Source organism: Homo sapiens, chromosome 9, assembly GCF_000001405.40.
Source record: "Homo sapiens chromosome 9, GRCh38.p14 Primary Assembly".
Lineage (NCBI taxonomy): Eukaryota > Metazoa > Chordata > Mammalia > Primates > Hominidae > Homo > Homo sapiens.
Window position 1 is genome coordinate 136,040,713 of NC_000009.12, and position 18,527 is coordinate 136,059,239.

Consider the following 18,527-nt stretch of genomic DNA (forward strand, 5'->3'; position numbering starts at 1 on the left):
ACTTTGGGAAGCCAAGGCAGGTAGATGGCTTGAGCCCAGGAGTTCAAGACCAGCTTGGGCAACATGGTGAAACCCTGTCTCTACAAAAACGCAAAAAAATTAGCCGGGTGTGGTGGTGCACGCCTGTAGTTCCAGCTACTCTGGGGGCTGAGGCTAGAGGACTCCTTGAGTCTGGGAGGCAGAGGCTGCAATGAGTAGAGATTGTGCCATTGCACTCCAGCCCAGGCGACAGAGTGAGAGTGAGACCCTGGAAAGAAAGAAAGAAAGAAAAGGAAGGAAAGGAAGGAAAGAAAGGAAGGAAGGAAAGGAAAGGAAAGAAGGAAAGAAAAGGAAGGAAGGAAGGAAGGAAAGGAAGGAAGGAAGGAAAGGAAGGAAGCAAAGGAAAGGAAAGGAAGGAAGGAAAGGAAGGAAGCAAGCAAGCATTCTTGGCTGGGCACAGTGGCTCATGCCTGTAATCCCAGCACTTTGGAAGGCCAAGACAGGCAGATCACTTGAGGTCAGGAGTTCGAGACCAGGCTGGCCAATGTGGTGAAACCTCGTCTCTACTAAAAATACAAAAAATCAGCTGCCATGGTGGCGGGTTCCTGTAATCCCAGTTACTCAGGAGGCTGAGGCAGAAACTGCCTGAACCCAGGAGGCGGAGGCTGCAGTGAGCCGAGATCGCACCACTGCACTCCAGCCTGGGTAAGAGTGAGACATGATCTGAGAAAAAAAAAAAAAGAAATAAAGAAAAAAATGAAGCATTGACCTATTCTTCAACATGGGTGATTCCTGATGCCAAAAGAAAAAAGCCAGTCACAGTATATCATACGATTCCATTGAACCAAAGTGCCCAGAATAGGAATCTACACAGAGAGTAGACTAGTGCTTGTCTAGGGCTGAAGGGAATACGGGGAAATAGAAATATCTGCCAAATGCCAAGGGGTTTCTTTGGGGGATGACAGAAATATTCCAAAATTGATTGTAGTGATGGCCACACAGCTCTGAATATACAAAAAAAACACTGGATTATTACTTTAAACAGATGAACAGTATGGCGTGTGAATTACGTCTCAATAAAGCTATTACATCTATGAATGACATCCATATATTAAAAGCTGGGGGAAATTACAGTGGCAAGAAATTGAGAGATGTACTTTCTTCATGGATTAGAAGCCTCAATATTGTTAAGAGGTCAGTTCTTCTCAAACTGATTTACAGAATCAGTGCAACATCGATCAACATTTTAGTAATCTTTTAGTTAGAGATCAGCAAACAGCAAAGGACTACGATAATCCTTCAAAACAATTTCTTTTTTTTTGAGACAGAGTCTCACTCTGTGGCCCAGGCTGGAGTGCACGATCTTGGCTCACTATAACCTCCACCTCCTGGGTTCAAGGGATTCTCTCGCCTCAGCCTCCTCAGCAGCTAGGACTACAGGCGCATGCCACCACACTGGCTAATTTTTGTATTTTTAGTAGAGATGGGGTTTCACCATGTTGGCAAGGCTGGTCTCGAGCTCCTGACCTCAGGTGATCCACCCATCTCGGCCTCCCAAAGTGCTGGGATTACAGGTGTGAGCCACCTTGTCCAGCCCAAAACAATTTTCAATAAGAAAATGAAGTTGAAGACCTACACAACCTGACTTCAAGAATTAAAGCTACAGTAATCCTGACGGGGGGTATCTGGCATAAGCACAGACACACAGATCAATGGAACCGAACAGAATCCAGAAATAGGCCTGCAGGTACGTATTCGACTGATTCTTGTCAAAGGTGTGAAGGGAATTCAGTGGAGACCTGGTGCTGCAATGACTGGACGTCCACAGGGGAAGGAAATGAACCTTCCCACTACCTGACCCCTTCTGCAAAAACGAGCCCAACATGAACCATCCACTAGACCATCAGAGCAAAACTGTTAAGACTTTTGCAAGAAAACACACACAGACTCACAGACACACACACACAGAAACACACACAGACACACAGACATACACACACAGACACACACACAGACACAGAGACACACACACAGACACAGACACACACAGACACAGAGACAGAGACACACACACAGAGACACACAGACACACACACACATAGACACAGTGTTGCCCCATCCTGGATAGGCAGGAATTCACACACAGACACATACAGACACACACAGAGACACAGAGACAAACAGACACACACACAGACACATACAGACACACACAGAGACACAGAGACAAACAGACACACACAGAGACAGACAGACACACACAGACACACAGAGACACACACATAGACGCAGACACACAGACACAGTGTTGCCCCATCCTGGATAGGCAGGAATTCACACACAGACACACACACACAGAACACAGAATTTTAGGTAGACAAGGATTTCTCGAACAGGCTACAAAAAGCACTAGCCGTAAAATACAACTTTAATAAATTGATCTTCATCAAAATTTAAAACTTCTGGTCTTTGAGAGTCACCATTACAATAATGAAAAGGCAGGTCAGACTAGGAGAGAATGCCCGCAATACCCATATGTGAACTTACTTGCAAATTATATAGGGAACTCTTAAAATCTAATTTTTAAAAAATGGACAAAAGATCTGAAGAAATACGTCACAATAAAAGTTATAAAGTACGGCTTATTCAACCTGTGAAACGTGCTCAGCGTTACTGACCATCAGGGAAATGCAAATAGAAACTACAATGGGATGTCACTGATATTCCACCCACGAGGAAGGGCTGAAACGTCAAGGCTGACAGAGAACCCCGGCTGCCGTAAGGCCGTGGGGCGCCTGCTGCTCTCACGGGCTGCTGGTGGGAGTGCGGCCTCATGCAGCCCCTTGGCCTCATGCGTTCAACCACATGACGAACAGAAACCATGACACACGGAAATATACAGGATCTACCGCTGCACGGTCTCACGCACAGGGATCCTATGAGAAGCAAAAGGGCAGTAGGAGGCAGCAGGGTGGTGGTCCCGTGGGGCCAGGATGGGGTAGACGACTCTGTGCAAAGAACCCCAGGGTAACATTCTACAGGAGGGAACTGTTCTGTATGTTGATTGCAACATTGCACTTGATTGCACAGTGAACTCACTGATGGCACACTTTGTAAAGGATACAAATACTTTTGGTTTTTGTTTTTTGGTTGGGGACAGGGTCTCGCTCTGTCACCAGGCTGGAGTGCAGTGGCGCAATCTCAGCTCACTGCAGCCTCTGCCTCCTTGTTCAAGTGATCCTCCTGCCTCAGCCTCCAGAGTAGCTGGGACTACAAGCGTGCATCACCACACCCGGCTAATTTTTGTATTTTCAGTAGAGAAGGGGTTTCGCCATGTTGGCCAGCCAGCTCTCAAATTCCTGACCTTAAGAGATCTGCCCACCTCAGCCTCCCAAAGTGCTGGGATTACAGGGGTGAGCCACCACGCCTGGCCAATACAAATACTTTAGCAAGCAAAAAAGGCGGGGAGGAGAGAACAATGGCCTAGACGGGCCACACCACAGATGCACCATATCTACAGGATGCTGATGAAAGCAGACAGATGGTCCAGTGCGGTGCTCCCACCTGTAATCGCAGCTTTTTGGGAGGCTGAGGCGGGAGGATTTCTTGAGCCCAGGAATTCGAGGCCACCTGGACAATATAGCGAGACCCTGTCTCTATAAATAATTACAAAATTAGCTGGGCATAGCGGCACATGACTGTGGTCTCGGCTCCTCGGAAGGCCTGAGTTGCAGGGGTATTGGCCCTTCAAAGCAGAAGGAACCCTTCACCCCCGACCCCTGCAGCCAACGGCACTCCCCGGTCTGGCCATCTCTGCTTGGGGCCTCCTCTTGGGCCCCACCCTATCCAGGCCAGAGATGAAGGCACCCTCTGCTCCCTGGGTGGTGGTGGGGGGGCTCTAACAGTGCGGACGCCCCCGTCCCAGGCCACAAGGCAGCAGAGTGGGGACGATGGTGCGATTTGCATACTCAGCAACCCCAAGTTCAGCCCCTCTTCTTGCTTCTCTCTGGGAACCCCAAACAACAGTCCTGAGTTTTGAGCTGCTGGTGGGAGCGGCCTCGGACATACAGCCCTGCTCCCCGACCGGGCAGGTGTACCTTCCGGATGGGTAATGGTGGGGGGTGAGTGGCTGCAACGGAGACCACCCTAGCCAGCAGCCCTGGCCACCTGGGTTCTGTGGCCCAGGGCCGGGAGCACCCCACCCAAGCCTGGGTGTTCAGCCGGGGGATGGACGGGGCCAGTGCTGACCTTGCAGGTCACCCTGAAAAGGGTGGGGCCCGCAGCAGGCCTCTCCTGATGGGCAGAGCCAGGACAGATGTGCTGCTGTGTGCCACGACCCACACCCAGTGGCATCTGTCCAGGGTCCAGGATGTGGGCAGCTGGTCTGAGGCTGGATGGGAGGGTCTCCTGGACCCTGAGCAGTTCCAACTTTGCCTGTTTTGCCTGAGTTCAGACCGCCCCATGGAAGTGGGTACCCAGCTTAGGGATGGGTGCCTGACCCCCATGCCCTGCAGAGAGGCACACAGGGGACACCGGGTGGACCCCAGAGAGGTGGGGGTGGAGGGAGCCAGAAGGGAAGGGGAAGCGGACATGCACAGGGCCACCCACTCACGGGCCCACAGGCCCTGTGGCCAGAGCTGTCCCCTGCCAGGAAAGGGTTACCGTCACGGGCCCACGGGCCCTGTGGCCAGAGCTGTCCCCTGCTGGGAAAGGGTTACCGTGGAAGTGTGCAGCTGGTGTCAATACCCAGGCGTGGCTTTGTCTCTGCCAGCCACACAGAGTGACATCTGCCAGCTGCAATTAAACATCTGCCCGCCCGAAGCCACTGCTGAGGGCATGAAAGGGATGGCCGGGCGAGCCCCATCAGGCACAGGAGGGGGTGTGGGCGCAGGTCCGGGCAGCCCCCTCCCCTTCAGAGGACAGGAGAGAAGCCCCAGCATGGCACTACCCCTTCCCTCTGCGAGCTCCATTTCCCTGTCCCTCGACCTCAGCGGTCTGCCATGCCACAGGTGCCCGTCCTCAGCTTGGGTGACAACGGCCACCCCCACTCAATGAAATAACCGTCAGGGCCCCGTGCTGTCATCTGCCCTGGGGTAAAAGCAGCTGCCATGACCGTCTCGGCTGTTGCAGGGACCTGTGGATCCAGATGTGCCAAGGAGACCACGGGAACAGACCCCTGAGCGCAGCTGGGGAGCCCCCACCCCAAGCCCAGCCCCAGCTGGCGCTGCCCACCCGGCCGGCTGCCTTGCCGGGGAAGCCCCGGCTCCCGGTGTCCCTGCTGGACGTTCAGATGCCCCCGAGCCCTGAGCCCCAGCGGGAATGCAGCCGCACCCTGGGGGAATGAAGGCGGGTACGCGAGGAAGAGGGCCCGAAGAGGAAAGGGGCTCCCGCTCAGGCCACAGCACCACCAAGTCCCAAGGCACAGGCTCCCTCTGCCCGGCCCACCTCCTGCTCTCTGGAGGGGCTGGCCCCTGACTCACCCCCGTGGTGGGGCGGGAAGGGATGGGGGTGCAGGGGAGGCGGAGGCAGGCATTTCGCAATCTCTAGCTCAGATGCAAGGCCCCTGACAACGCCAGGCAGGGACGCCTGCGCCTCACCCTCTGGGAGGTTTCCCCATCAGCCAGAGGGGAACTGCACTGGGCGTTTCCCTTCCGGTGGATACGATGTTTTTCTTTCACCCCTGGGTGCACCCCACCCCCAGCTCATCTTGCTCCGGGGTCTCCCGAGGCTGCCGGCCACAGGGCCAGGAGGAAGGTCCCTGCCTGCCGCAGGGGTGATGGCTTAAGGCCCAGGAGGGCGCCCTGAAGTGACTGCTGCAGAGATGAGGGCTGGTGGGTGGGAAGCACTGAGCGTCCCGAGCCAGCGTCCACCTGATGGGGACCGAGACGGGGCCTGCCTCGCTGCGGGTGGGGGGGCTTGAACTCGGCCCCATCAACCTCACACACCCATGCATGGCGCCTTCTCGCAGCTTTGCTCCTGACTGCAACAAACTGAAAACAACCTGAATGTCCTTTGATAAGGCACTGGAGAAATCAAACGTGGCGGCTCCTTCTGACGGGTGGTGACGCGGGACCTGGAGGGAGGGAGGAGAGGCACGAGACAGACACCGCATGGAGACCCTTGCCGTGAGGCCACACAGACCATGGGGCGGGGGCTGTGCCGGGGACAAAAGGCAATTAACTTTATCTGTAATATTTTGACTTATTTCAAAAACAGGAGAACAGCCCTACAGGACAAACTGTCCATGGTTCTTAACGCGAGAGAGGGTGGAACAGGCACACGCATTACCACACACCAAGGTGCAGCTCCGGGACCCTCGGCAATCGCTCAGGCCCGCCTCTCACTCAACAGGTAGGGAGACTGAGGCCAGGGAGGAGGAGGAGCTCAGCCTGCAGGGACCTTAGAACACGCTAGTCCTACCAGCCCAGAGAGACAGCTACCTGCCTCCACTCCTGCACGGCCTGGCGAGGGCAGCAGCCAGCCTCCTGCGTGGGTGTGAGGACGTTCCCCGGACGAGCCCGGGACACGGAGGGCACGGGGAGCTAGCACCCAGGGGCAGCTCCAGGTCAGGCGACGGCCCCTCCCTCTACCTGCTCCCCCCATGGCACCGCCAACCCAGCACACCCAGCGACGCCAGCAACGTCACAGCCAGTAACCTAGATTTTAACCAAGAAATCACACACCCCCTTTCTCTGCCCCACTTATGGGCTTGCCGAACAGAAAAACCATGACAAGAAACCCAGACTGTGGCATCCAGAGCCAAACTGTATGGTAGGTGGGCGGGAGCAGGCCTGGCCTCCCAGCCGCCCACTTTCCACCTCGCTGGCATCAGCGACACCCGTGCAAAGGCAGAGAATGCCGCGCAGCACCTGCGGCCTGGACAAAGCCCTGCAGGAACATGGCCTTGAGGGTGTCCCCACCCCTCAGCCCCAATGGGACTGTACCTCGTGTGGTCTGAGTACGGGGGAGTTGGAGGGAAGGACTCACCAGAGCAGCTGCCTCCCGTCCCCACCCAACACACATCCGGGACTCCACAGAGCCGCTTCCTGGCTGCGGTCCTGCTGACTCCCCAAAAACCCATCAAGGCAGGTGGGCGTGAGGGCTTCTAGCTCACGAAGTCCAGGCGATGTGAGGGCTTAAGGCTGACCCAGCACCCAGGGGCAGATGCATGGGACAAGTCACGAGGCTTCACCGTGCTCCCAGCAAACCCGACACCCAGCCCTGGCTCCCATCACCCCAAACACACCAAGGCCCAAGGTCACATTGGAGCAGCAGGGGGCTGTGCAGGGAGGACCCTGGGAAGATGTTTGGATACGATGGGTCTGTTTCCATCTCCATGGTGCAGCTCCCTGACCCGTCGGCAACCCGTCGGCAGGGCCCTGTCTGGCTGCCATTGTCGGCAGGGCACTGTCTGGCTGCCATCAATGGGGGATGTCCTCAGGGACTGTAGGGGTGCCCAGCCTGTCTGGGGTTCTGCCCTGGGACTGGAGCCCATGGACAGAGCTCCTTCCCAACAGGGGCCCTGGGTGGGCCTTGGGAGCCTTCCCCAGCAGCCTCTGGCTGGTCCCCTGCCTTCCCTGGGGTGGCTGTCAGCAGGGGCAGAGGGAAAGCGCACATGGGGCGGATTCCCCGGAGGCCTCAGCCAGCCGGGTCCACAAGCACTGACATCCTGTACGGCCTCTGTGGTGAGCCGGAGCCCGGTGTGCTCTGCCCTCAGGAAGGGCCAATTCCGTAGCTAGCAAAGCTCCCAGTCTCAGGACAAATCAAGCCCTACCCCCTACCACTAAAAGAAAACAAAAGCTGTGAAGCCCAGATCGAGGTGGCCTGTGAGCTGGCATTCTGTGGGATTCATGCAAACACAGCAATATACATTTAAACCAAGTGCGGAGTTCTCAGGAAGACACCACGGAGCCCAGAGCACCTGCTGGCAAGGCAGTGGCTTCTCCTGCAGGCGGAGAGGGAGCCAGGTTGGCCAAAGCAGTGGTTACCCTGCTGTCCCGGCTGTGGTGACAGACGCTGCACAGGGACCCAGCTGGCCTAGGGGTCCAAGCTGGTGGGTGGTCCTGGCCCCCTCTGCCCCCAACCAGCACTGCAGGAGGGGAAGGGCAGGGGGGCGTCCCATCAGGGCACAGGGATATGCGTGGTGGGGTGGAGAGAGTCCCTACACTGCCCCTCGGGGTCCACCACCTGCCCGTGGCTGGCATTATGCACCCGCACCCAGGCCCAGGCCGCTGCACACAGGCCCTGCATGCAGACCAGCCAGGTGGCCAGCCCAGACACACAGTCAGGTTGCAGGGACACCCGATCCTGGGCACCAACTGTGGGACTCTGCCCAGCAAAGCCTGAACAGTCTCCAGAGGCTGTAACCAGGAATCTCCAATTAGGGCAACCTGGGTTTGTGGGGCCCAGGACGGGGAGCAGCCCTCCTTGAAAGAAAGGAACGGAGAGGAGGGGGAGCGACTGCTCACTCGGCTCAGCACACTGGGCGCTTCCTGGCCCATCCCTGGCGCGGGGCCTGGAGAGGTGGTGGCAAAGGGGCTGGGTTCAGGGGACTCTCTAGACCTGGCCGGGTGAGGCGCAGACTGAGGTTAAAGGGGAAGTAGGCGGGTCCTCCCGTACACCGCGTGGCGCCAGGCCCTTCACAGACGGGGAACGTGAACCCTGGGGCAGGTCCCTGGGCCACGGGACACCTGCGTTTCCTCATCTATCCAGTGGAGACAAGACCCTTCCTACAGGCTGGCAGAGTCTCCTAGGAGTTCTTGTCTCATCCAGGACCAAGTCTGAACCCCATGGTGAACAGAGCTCTGCCACCTCCTCCAGGCTTGGTGGGGGGCTCCCCTGTGGCCCCGCAGGCCTCCGGCCCAGTGGCCTCCTGAGCCACCCGGGTCCCAGGCAGGCCCCGCTTCCCAGCCAGGTGGTGTGGGGCTCCACCCCGCCGCGTTACCTGCATAGCTGCCGGAGGCCTTGATGTACATCTGGCCGTACTGCTCCTCCACCATGGTGTCGTAGGCCTCGTCGTCCTCCTCGTCCTCCTCGTTGTGGTACGAGGTGGGGCTGTCGGTGGTGGGCAGGCTGCTGGCGCCTGGACTGGTCCGCTCCCCCTGGGGGTAGGGCATCTGCTGGATGCCGGGGATGAGGGTGGCCAGGCTGGGCACCCCGTAGTAGGAGACACGGGGCAGTTTGAGAGGGGCTGTGCCCGCCGCCACCGCAGCCCCCGCGGCCACCGCCACGCCGTCCCGGGGCCCCGTCTCCAGCGGGCGCTTGGGGGCCAGGCCTGGGCCGGCCGGCGGCAGCTCCATGGCTTCATGCTTTACTCGGGTCAGCAGCGGGATGGGCACCGAGGGGGACACGACGTAGGGGGCCGCGGCGGCGGCGGCCGGCTGCAGCTGGTTGCAGGGGCTCTGGGGCTCGGAGCCGGCGTCCTCGATCACAGCGGTCTGCGAGTCGCAGTGGGGCGAGCTCACCTTGAACATGAGGTCGGTGCCGCGCTCCACGATGTGCTGGATCTGCAGGAAGCCGGCCGTGTACATGACCACGAGCTGCTCGCTGGCCGTCATGGTGAGCCTGCCCGTGTAGCAGAAGGACAGGATCTGCTGGAAGCAGGCGGGCGGCACGGAGCCGGGCAGCTCGAAGGCGCTCTTGCTGTTGCCGCTGAACAGGTCGCGGAAGTAGAGGCTGCTGGCGGCCAGCACCGCCCGGTGGGCCTTGAAGGCCTGGCCCTTGACCACGATGGACACATCGCAGTAGAGGCCCAGCAGGCGCTGCTCGTTCAGGCAGCCCAGCACTGTGTTCCCGAAGTTGGGGATCTCGATGTGCAGCATCTGAGACATGGCGGGCGGGCAGCGGCGGGGCTGGGCTCTCAGCGCGGGGCGGCCCTAGCGGGGCTCATCTGTGGGGGGCAGGAGGCACGTGGTCAGTTCCTCCAGGTCACGGGCTCCCCGCTCAAGGGGCCGTTCCCACCCCCTCCTCCCCCGCCGGGGGCTTACAAAGAGCGAGCCTTCCGCACGCGCCCTCCCCCGCCCCTCCTGGCTGGGACACTCCAGAGAAGGGACACGGGGTCTCCCAGACCCCCTGGCAGACGGGCAAGAGGGCCCGGCCAGCACTGCTGCAGATCCCCGGGGTGCTGCCCGGCAGGAGTGCGCCCACGCCACTCCCAGGGGGCTGCTCTTAGCGACTCGGTCTCAGCAGGCGAGGAGGAGCGCAGGCCTGAACCTGCCCCGGGACAGGAGGTGGGGGCCGCCGGGGGAGCCTCTGGGCAAACCTGCAGCCACTCTCCTCCCCTCAAAAAAGTTCCAGCCCGCACAGGAGCTCCCGGGAGGGGCCGCGCTGGAGCAGCGGGGAAGGAGGGAGGGAGGGGGGTCTCTGGAGCTGTGCAGTTTGCGGTTTGCTTTCCCTCTCTTCCCTCCGAGCAGCCTCGCAGAGGGCCCCTGCGGGGAAGGCGGGCCAGCGTCCCCTAGTCCCCCTGAGCCTCCCGGGCAGGTAGGGAATGGCTGGGGGTGCCGGGAAGTCCGCTGAAGCCGCGTCCACTCCTCCCTCGCGCAGAGAGACCACCCTGGGCGCGCCCGCTCCGTTCTCCCGTGCTCTCCTGGCTCGGACCAGACCCAGGTTCCCAAGCCGCCGCCAGGGCAGGAGTTGGGAAGCCTGTCGCAGCCCCACTCGCGGACGCCCCCCACCCCGCTCGCCTCGCTCCCCACGCGGGCCAATCCCGACGGCCCGGCCCCAACCCAGGTGACTACAGGGGTCCCAGCCCTCGCCGGGCTGCCCGGACCCCGGGGCTGGGAGCTGGGGAGGGCGCCGCTGTTTATCTGGTGCGGACTCCGGAGGGGGCGGGGGCGGCCCAGAAGGCGCCAGCCCAACTCCGCAGGGCCGCACAAAGGCCGCTGTGTCCCACGGGAGGAAAGTGCGGGCGGCCGCAGAGGCGCCGGGTGGCGGGAGGAGGGCGGAGCCACCGCGCCGGGAGCTGGGCAGGTGGACGCGCGCCGGGGGCGGCCCGCAGTGCCCCCGCTGCGGAGAAGTTGCCGGCCGGTCGGGAAGACCTACCTTCAGCCGCTGCGGCCGCCGGCCGGCACTGCCCGCTCCGCCTGGCAGGACAGGCTCCCCGCACGCAGCCCGCCTGCCCAGCTGCTCCGCGAATGCAGCAAACGGAGCGGGAGCCCTGGGGCGGGGAGGGCGCAGGGAGCCGGCAAGGAGGAGGAGGAGGAGGAGGAGGAGGAGGAGGAGATGGTGGAGGAGGAGGAGGAGGAGGAGGGCAGAGCGCCTGGGCGCTGGGCTCGCGGCCGCAGCTCAGCTGCACCCAGGCCGGCCCTCCCGGGCAGCGCACCGCATCTCAATGAAGGGGCCGGATGCAGACGAACGTTCCGGCGGCTCGGGAATGAATAGCCGCCTTTGATTTGGGAGCCGAAGTAAATGCCAGCTCCCAGCCCCGGCTTTAAAAACAGTGGAGTGTTGGTGCCAGAGGAATGCGCGGCCCCGGGTGCTGGTACGAGACAGACTTTTGATGACTCACTGCAATGCAAACAAAGATGGCAGAAATACTGTACAGTAGTGGAGAAATGCTTCCCGGTGCCACGGCAACTGAGACAGCCTGGAAATTTATGGTGCAGTTTTGCATATGAATTACCCAGTAAACTGCCTCCCGGCCTTCCAGGACAGCCCCAGTGTCAAAGCATTTAAACTATTCCAAACAGTCTGCAGAGCTGGCAGAGCTGAACTCCTCCAGCGAGGGTGGGGAATGGGCAGAGGCGCCAGGGGGAGGGGGTGAGGGGGTCAGGACAGCTAGGGGAGCCAGGGAAGGGGAGGGGAGGTACAGCAGGGGGTGAAGAGAGGCACAGAAACGGCAGGCAGTGGGTGGGTGAGGCGGCACCCCAGGTCCTGGGGGCCTTAGAGCTGTGTCCTCTGCCCAGGCGGCAGGCCCGGGAGTCCAGCCCCAGCACCCCTCCCCATCCCACTCCCAGCGCCCTCCTGGCACTTTAAGAAAAGAGCGACTTTGTGGCCGGGCAACCAGGAGCCGGAAGGGGCAGCCCCGCCTGAGAGGTCCCAGCAGAGGGCAAAGCGGCCGCCTCGCTCCTCCCGCACACTCCTGGCTGCGGCCACACAGGCTGCACCTCCTGCCCAAGGGGGTCTGCAGCGTCTGGCTGTTATTGAGCCTTTTCCTGGGAAGGGGCTGCTGCTGTGCAGGACTTGTGGTGGCCCCGGGACCCCTCCAGAGAATGTGTACTTCATCCTGGGCTCATACCAGCCTCTCTGCGTGGGGCCCTGAGGCTGACCTCTGGACTGCCCAGCCTCAGTTTCCCTGCCACTGGCTGTGACCCCCAGGAAGAGCACATTCCACCCAAAAGAAGGGGCAGGGTCCAGGCTCGAGGCCTTGAGGTGAGCCCCCTCCTGCTTGGCCAGCTGCCTCCACCACCCTCGGGGTAACCCTGGCAGCAGGATGCGGAGGAGGCCCGAACAGGCCTGGTGGGAGGCAAGGCGACACAGCCCTGCCCCTCACTCCCGGCGCCCCTCTGAGGCATCCGGAGACCAGAGAGAGGGCCATCTGGCTCCTCCCTAGTCACACACCATGGGCTCAGCTTCTCCAGACCAGACAAAAAGCCACTGAATGGGGACGGGAAGAGATCCAGGTGCGGGGAAGCTGCCGGCAAAGGCCCGTGGAGGTGGCTTCGTGCCTAGTGTTTTCTGCCTCCTACAAGGGGCTGGTGACAACTCAAGGAGACTGGGATGGGGGCGTTTACAGAAACGTCCCCACTCGGCCATGCTGATGAGCTGGGCTCCACCGGGCCAGGAGACACAGGGCCCAGCTGTCACCCTCCCCGCCACACCCTCCACCCTCAGGTCCCCACTTAGTTTCTGCCTCATCCAGGAAGTCTGCCAAGTGCCCTCATAAGCTCGGCAAGGGCTGAATGCTGGACACAACCCGGGCAGGGGGGTACAAGAGAGGGGCCTGTGCAACACAGCACAGAGGGCAGAGGCCCCTAGACAGCTCCCTTCACAGACCCACTGCGCCCACCACCAGGAGCCTCCCAGAGAGCCCGTGGCTTCTGTTGTGGGCAACTTCGCCCCAAGGACGGGGGGGTAGGGATGTCTGAGTCATACAGGGGCTTTTGTACCAAAAGAGGGGACAGGCAGAGGCCAGCACGGCGCACCGGTTCCTGGGGGTCCCAAGTACCTGGGCTGGGTAGGGCAGCAGCCAGGGCTGACACAGACAGCAAGGGACAATGTAGGCTCTCAGCCTGTCCCTTCCAGCAGCAAGAGGGTCCTGGCCTGTTGGCAAGGCTGAAATCCTAGGTCCCGTGGGCACCAGCCACTTCCTGTAAGGACACCTCAGCCTCAGACGCTGAGCTGTGAACTGGGGTTATGATTTACCCTCAGATGGTTCCTGGGGGTGAATGGAACAATGTTTGTGAAGCCGGCGGCTGAAGCCTCACACACAGAAAGCCGGTGATGCCTGCAACCTGCTGTGACCTGGGCAGGAGAGCAGCTCTCAGCTGGGCATCCAGGTGGGCGTCTTAACGCCCAGCCCAGTTCGGCCTGCGTCCGCACCTCAGGAGCTGGAGCCCCAGGGCTGGGGGACAGACCAGCTCTCCCAGAGAAGGGACCATTATTCCCTTTGAAGGTGATGGGGCCGTGTGGTCCCTGGGGATCGAGGACAACTGGAGCTTTTGCTGGCTTGTCCTCAGGCCACCTGCACCGGTGAGGCTGCAGCCCCACGCCCCAGCCTGCTGAGAGCCGGACAGGAGCTGGTTTTAGGTTGCTTTCTTGGAAGGCTCAAGAACAAAGCTGAACTTTAGGAGAAAAGAATAAAATAAAGGCTTGGCTCACGCCCCCAGGGCCAGGAAAGCAGACACACGGGGGCTGACCCTCCTGCTACACCCAGAGAGGAGGGGGCCGAGGGCCCAGGTGGGCCCAGGGACGTGAGCAGAGCTGTCTGCTCAGGAGGGCAGGGGCCAAGCCTGGTTCTCAGACATCAGGGCATCCCCACCCTCCCCTGCACATTCTCCAGTGACTCAGTTTCCCCACCACTTTGCTTCCCAAGCAACACCTCCTATTGTTTCCCCTTCTCGGTGAGATTCAACACACTCATTCACTTATGGAAAGTTCTGCAGAGCCAGGCAAAAAATCAGAGGTCGCCAACTTTGTTTACCCCAGCCATCCTCAGGGTTGTGGCACCAACGACCCTTGCTCTCAAAACGCCCTTCAGAACAGAACCCACTTTGGAGAACCTCTGCAGGTGACCCAAGGCCCGAGTCCACTCCCTGCAGCTGTGCCAGCCTTCGGTGCCCCACCCCACACAGACACACAGAGGAGGCTGGGTTCCTCTGAGCCCACAAGCCACCCTCAGGAATAAGAAAATACAGGTGGCTGTGGTGTCGGAGTGGGGGGTCTCTCCTCTGCAGAGCCTCACTTGAGGAAGGCTGAGATCCAGGCCTGCCCTGCCCTGGGGTTAGGGGTTGCCCACCATGATGAGCCCCATACCCAGCAACCTGCCGATGGGTGAGAGGAGCCCGCGGGGAGGACAGGGGCTCACTGGAACTGCAGCCAGACGCGCACACAGGGGTTGGGGCAGCGTCTCCAGAACGACCCCCCTGCCTGAGTGTCGTCCCGGCAGGATTCACACAAGGACACAGGTTACAAGGTTGGTGCCAGGCCAGGGCACCTGGGTCCTGGCATCAAGTACCCAGGAGCAGAGGCTCTGGCAGGTACAAGACCCCTGAAAGCATCCCCCAGGCCAGAGGACTGGGACAGGGACCAGTCAGGCAGCCCAACAGGAGGAGCCCTTTTCCTGGGGCCCAGCCAGGCAGCTCCATGGTCTGAGGGCCTCGCCCAGAGTCCCCAGAAACCCTGCCCCCTCCACCCCTAGATTGTAAAGCACTTTCTAAGCCCAGCACAGCAAACCAGAGGAATGCGGCACTGAATTTCTGCAGGATCACCACCAGCAAGGGGAAGGGAGGCGAGAAAAATTAAATTAAATTAAATTATCTTGCAGGATTTAATTTCACCAATCTAATAAGAGGTTCTGGACCTCAGCAAATGCACAGCCATTAAACACGTGGTAGAGGAAGGAGAGAGGCGGGGCACGGGAAACGTTCTGCGGAGGGGAGAGTCCCTCTACCCCGAGCCCCGGCCCCTGGTGGAGACTGCCTGGCAGTTAGTTAAGTGAGGACATCTCCTAAAAGGTCAATCGAAGGCGCTCCTGGAGCGTGAGAAGGTGTGGGGATGGGGCGGGCCTGCTGTGCCAGGTGCTCTGGAGTCAGCAGGAGCACAGGGGGTGTTAGGAATACAGTCTGGGGGCTGCTACCCCGTGGACCTTGCCCACCTCCGCGCAACGCCTTCCCTTTCCCATACGGTGCAGGCTCCAGGAGGATTTGCTTTGACCCTATACCTTCAGAAAAGAGGCCCTAGGGAGGACAAGGGGGCGGCAGGGGGCCCGGAGGTTAACCCTGGGGGGTAGAGGCTGCCCAGCTCCGGATGTGCCAGGGCCTCAGGGAGCTGGGTGTGGCACCAGCTTAGCCCTCAGGTTTGCATTAAACTTTTAAAATGCCAGAAAGCAGAGCTGGGCTGCCCGGAGGCCTGGCTGCTAATGGAACCACCAGCTCCATGCAGATGAGATGCAGCAGCTCTGGGCCAGGGCCCTCGGCGGCCAGGAACTCCCCCCAACCCCGAGGCCCCCACAAAAGCCAGGATGGCGTGTGCCGTGTGCTCACCTCCCCGCTACTGGACATACAGATGAGGAAACTGAGACCTCACAGTCGGGAGGCAGCGGGGCCAGGCCCCTAGCCATCATCCTTCCTGGGTGGTCTCTGGTCATCAAGTCACAAGAGCCAGAGAGGATGCCTGGCCCCGCCCAACAGACCCCGGGTAGCTACGACCCTGACCTGCCAGGGCCCTAAGGACTCTGTGGCAGAGAGGAGAGTTCCACCCAGGAAAGGGGCGCAAAGGCCCCCAGCTTCAGGGTCACAGAGGTACGGGGGGTCTCTGGGATGACGGGCCCCCTCGGACTATCACTGTCGCCCCAGCCTGGGAGGTGGAGGAGAGCCATGCAGGGCTGGGCCCAGGCCGGGCTCTCTCCGTTCAGCCAGGTCCCTAGGCGGCTTCTACCCCAGACCACAAGCCAGGGCCAGCATCAGCCATCAGAGCCGGCGGTAACTGCACTAAGGAACATCTGCCTGGAAGCTTTCTTCCCAGATGGAGAAGGGCAGTACTCCAGGACCTGCAAATCCACAATTCCGTGTATCAGCCCTTCCTCTCGGCCACCCGTGGGCAGGCCCACAGATAGAGGGGATGAAGCCAGGGACACAGCAGGGGGTCTCTGGACAGCACAGCCCCCAGCCCCCACCCCCAGGGTGGGCCTCCAGCAGCCAGTACCTCGAGGGAGGGCTGGGAGGACGCTCCATCCTCGGCAGCAGCAGGCTCTGCGTCCGATAGGGCCTTGTGGGGTGCCCGTGGCGTTGGCTCTGCCGGGGGTCTGGTCCAGGGGCCTGTGTGACTGAGCCGAGCCCTGCGCTTATGGGGAATGACCCAAGCAGCCACGGCTCACCTGAGGCATGGCCCCTGGCCACCAACACGCTCATCTCTAACCTTCACTTGCAGAATATTCTTTCTTATGGGTAAGGACTTGGGGGACAAACACAGCACAGACTGTCAACAGGGATGGCTCAGAGGAAGAGAATGACTCGAAGGGTGGGGAGGGACAGCTGGGGCTGGGGTGGCTCCTGTTGAGCCCCAGATCCGCCCTATGGCCCCACCCCAGCCAGCAGACCCACTGGGTCCACACACTGTGGGATGCTCCCTCACACCACAAAACATTCTAGAAGGTTTCCAAAGAATTAAGCTGTGTTTCGAAAAGAGCCGACAATCTCCCTCACCCATATTTGTAATTTAAATAACGTAAGCTTGAAGAGCGTCTCCCTCGGGCATAGTTTAATAACTTAAAAAGCCAGCGCCAGCTCCAGCGCAGGGCCCCCTCCTCCCCCAGGGCTGCAGTAGGGTCTCCCCTGCACCGGCTCGGCCGGGTGGAAGCTGAGATTGGGGCTGCCCAGGCGGAGCGGCCGGGAGGGGAAGCACCCTCCTCACTCGCTCACCCCCTCTCTTGATGGCCTGGAGCAGCTGTGGCCTGATCATCACCACTGGGGCCGGGGGTTGTGGAAGCGGTCGGATCCCAGGCACCGACAGTCAGAGGTGGGCAATGGGAGGCGGTCTGGAGCGTGCTGGGCCCCGCTGCTGGTCACCCAGCCCATTAGAGACGGCGACTTCGCGGCACACTCTCATGGTTAATATTCATAGCTCTCCTCATCTGCATATCATGCCATAAATAGTGAGGCGAGGTAAGACACAAAGCTCCCCTGCATTTCTAATTATGCTTAAAACTCTCATGTAAATCAGAGCGACACAGAAACACTACATCAGCCACTGGGGGCGGGGGGGGCCCAATGACGCCTGGAGCCACACGCCTCTAGGCCCTGGCTGGCAAGGGGGCTGCTGGCACCACCTCCGCCTGGAGTTGGGCAGCAGGGAACCCAGGCTATGTCCTTGGGGTCACCAACCTCGCCCTGCCTTTGCCCCAAAGGGCGAACTACAGGGCAGACACCCGCAGCACCTCATGGCCACCTCCATCCCTGCCCCACCCCATCCTGCCCGGTCCCCACGGCTCCCAGTGCCTGGCCCAGGCCCTTCCCAGCCAGGGACCCGGGATTCCCATCCTCAGGGGTGTCCGGCGGAAGCAGCAGGCACCTGCTCAGGAGGGGGCTCCGGAGGCTCCCCAGGGCCCTGGCCATCCATATTTTACCCTCTGGACATTCCTGTCTGGGACCTGGGCTTTCTCAGCTCTTCAGAAAGATGGGATGTTGGATACACACGGACATAAACATGGGAATGACAGACTCTAGGAACAACAGGATGAGGGAGGGAAGAGGGCAAAGGCTGAAAACTAACCCACCGGGTACCATGCTCACCACCTGAGTGACGAGCTCGATCGCAACCCACCTCAGCATCGCACCATGCACCCAGGTGACAAACCTGTACACGTATCTCTGAATCGAAAATAAAAGTTGAAAAAAGGAAAAGATTCAACTCACACAGCACCAGAGATTCGGAATAGCCCCCACCTGCACACTTCGGGCAATGCCTCACGCTGGGGCATGGGATTGGACAAAAGTCCTTGGCAGAGCTCAAGCCATGGAGGGGACGCAGGGGCCGGGGCAGGATGGTCTCCTGACCGCCACCCCACCCCAGTGGATAGCGCTGCCCCTGGATGGGTAGCAGAGGCCCAGGTGTGGGAGGCGTGACTCTGGCCCCTGGGCCCCGCCCTCCTGTCTGCAGGGAGAGGCAGTGTGGGGGCTGTAGAGGGAAGGTGCTGGGTCAGGGGCAGGGGAGAAGCGTGATCTGGAACCCACATCAGAGCCTGAGACAGCCCCAACCCCTGCAAGCAGCACAGAAACAATCACAGGGTCCCTGGAGATGAAGCTTTAGCTGGGACATCTGGGGGCAAAACTGCCACCCAGTGAGCCCAGGAGCAGGGCCATTCCCCGGGACTAGGGACACCCTCAGGGCTA

General features: G+C 60.4%; 1 protein-coding gene across 1 annotated transcript in view, besides 4 other annotated features; it reads right to left on the minus strand.

Annotated features, from left to right (window-relative positions):
* Positions 1-18,527, minus strand: part of NACC2 (NACC family member 2) — an 88,753-nt gene that overhangs the window by 34,176 nt on the left and 36,050 nt on the right. Inside the window, exon 2 of the mRNA NM_144653.5 lies at positions 8,924-9,868. Within this exon, the coding sequence (NP_653254.1) occupies positions 8,924-9,809 (886 nt within the window). The 5' untranslated portion in view covers positions 9,810-9,868. The remainder of the gene's footprint in view (positions 1-8,923; positions 9,869-18,527) is intronic.
* Positions 10,433-11,009: an enhancer, noted in NCBI's record as "H3K27ac hESC enhancer chr1:223743486-223744062 (GRCh37/hg19 assembly coordinates)". NCBI's record gives its function as "activates a minimal SCP1, AML or CMV promoter by ChIP-STARR-seq in naive H9 embryonic stem cells {active_cell/tissue: H9 hESC(naive)}" and the evidence as "EXISTENCE:reporter gene assay evidence [ECO:0000049][PMID:30033119]".
* Positions 15,121-15,721: an enhancer, noted in NCBI's record as "H3K4me1 hESC enhancer chr9:138947679-138948279 (GRCh37/hg19 assembly coordinates)". NCBI's record gives its function as "activates a minimal SCP1, AML or CMV promoter by ChIP-STARR-seq in primed H9 embryonic stem cells {active_cell/tissue: H9 hESC(primed)}" and the evidence as "EXISTENCE:reporter gene assay evidence [ECO:0000049][PMID:30033119]".
* Positions 15,722-16,321: an enhancer, noted in NCBI's record as "H3K27ac-H3K4me1 hESC enhancer chr9:138948280-138948879 (GRCh37/hg19 assembly coordinates)". NCBI's record gives its function as "activates a minimal SCP1, AML or CMV promoter by ChIP-STARR-seq in naive and primed H9 embryonic stem cells {active_cell/tissue: H9 hESC(naive and primed)}" and the evidence as "EXISTENCE:reporter gene assay evidence [ECO:0000049][PMID:30033119]".
* Positions 16,322-16,923: an enhancer, noted in NCBI's record as "H3K27ac-H3K4me1 hESC enhancer chr9:138948880-138949481 (GRCh37/hg19 assembly coordinates)". NCBI's record gives its function as "activates a minimal SCP1, AML or CMV promoter by ChIP-STARR-seq in naive and primed H9 embryonic stem cells {active_cell/tissue: H9 hESC(naive and primed)}" and the evidence as "EXISTENCE:reporter gene assay evidence [ECO:0000049][PMID:30033119]".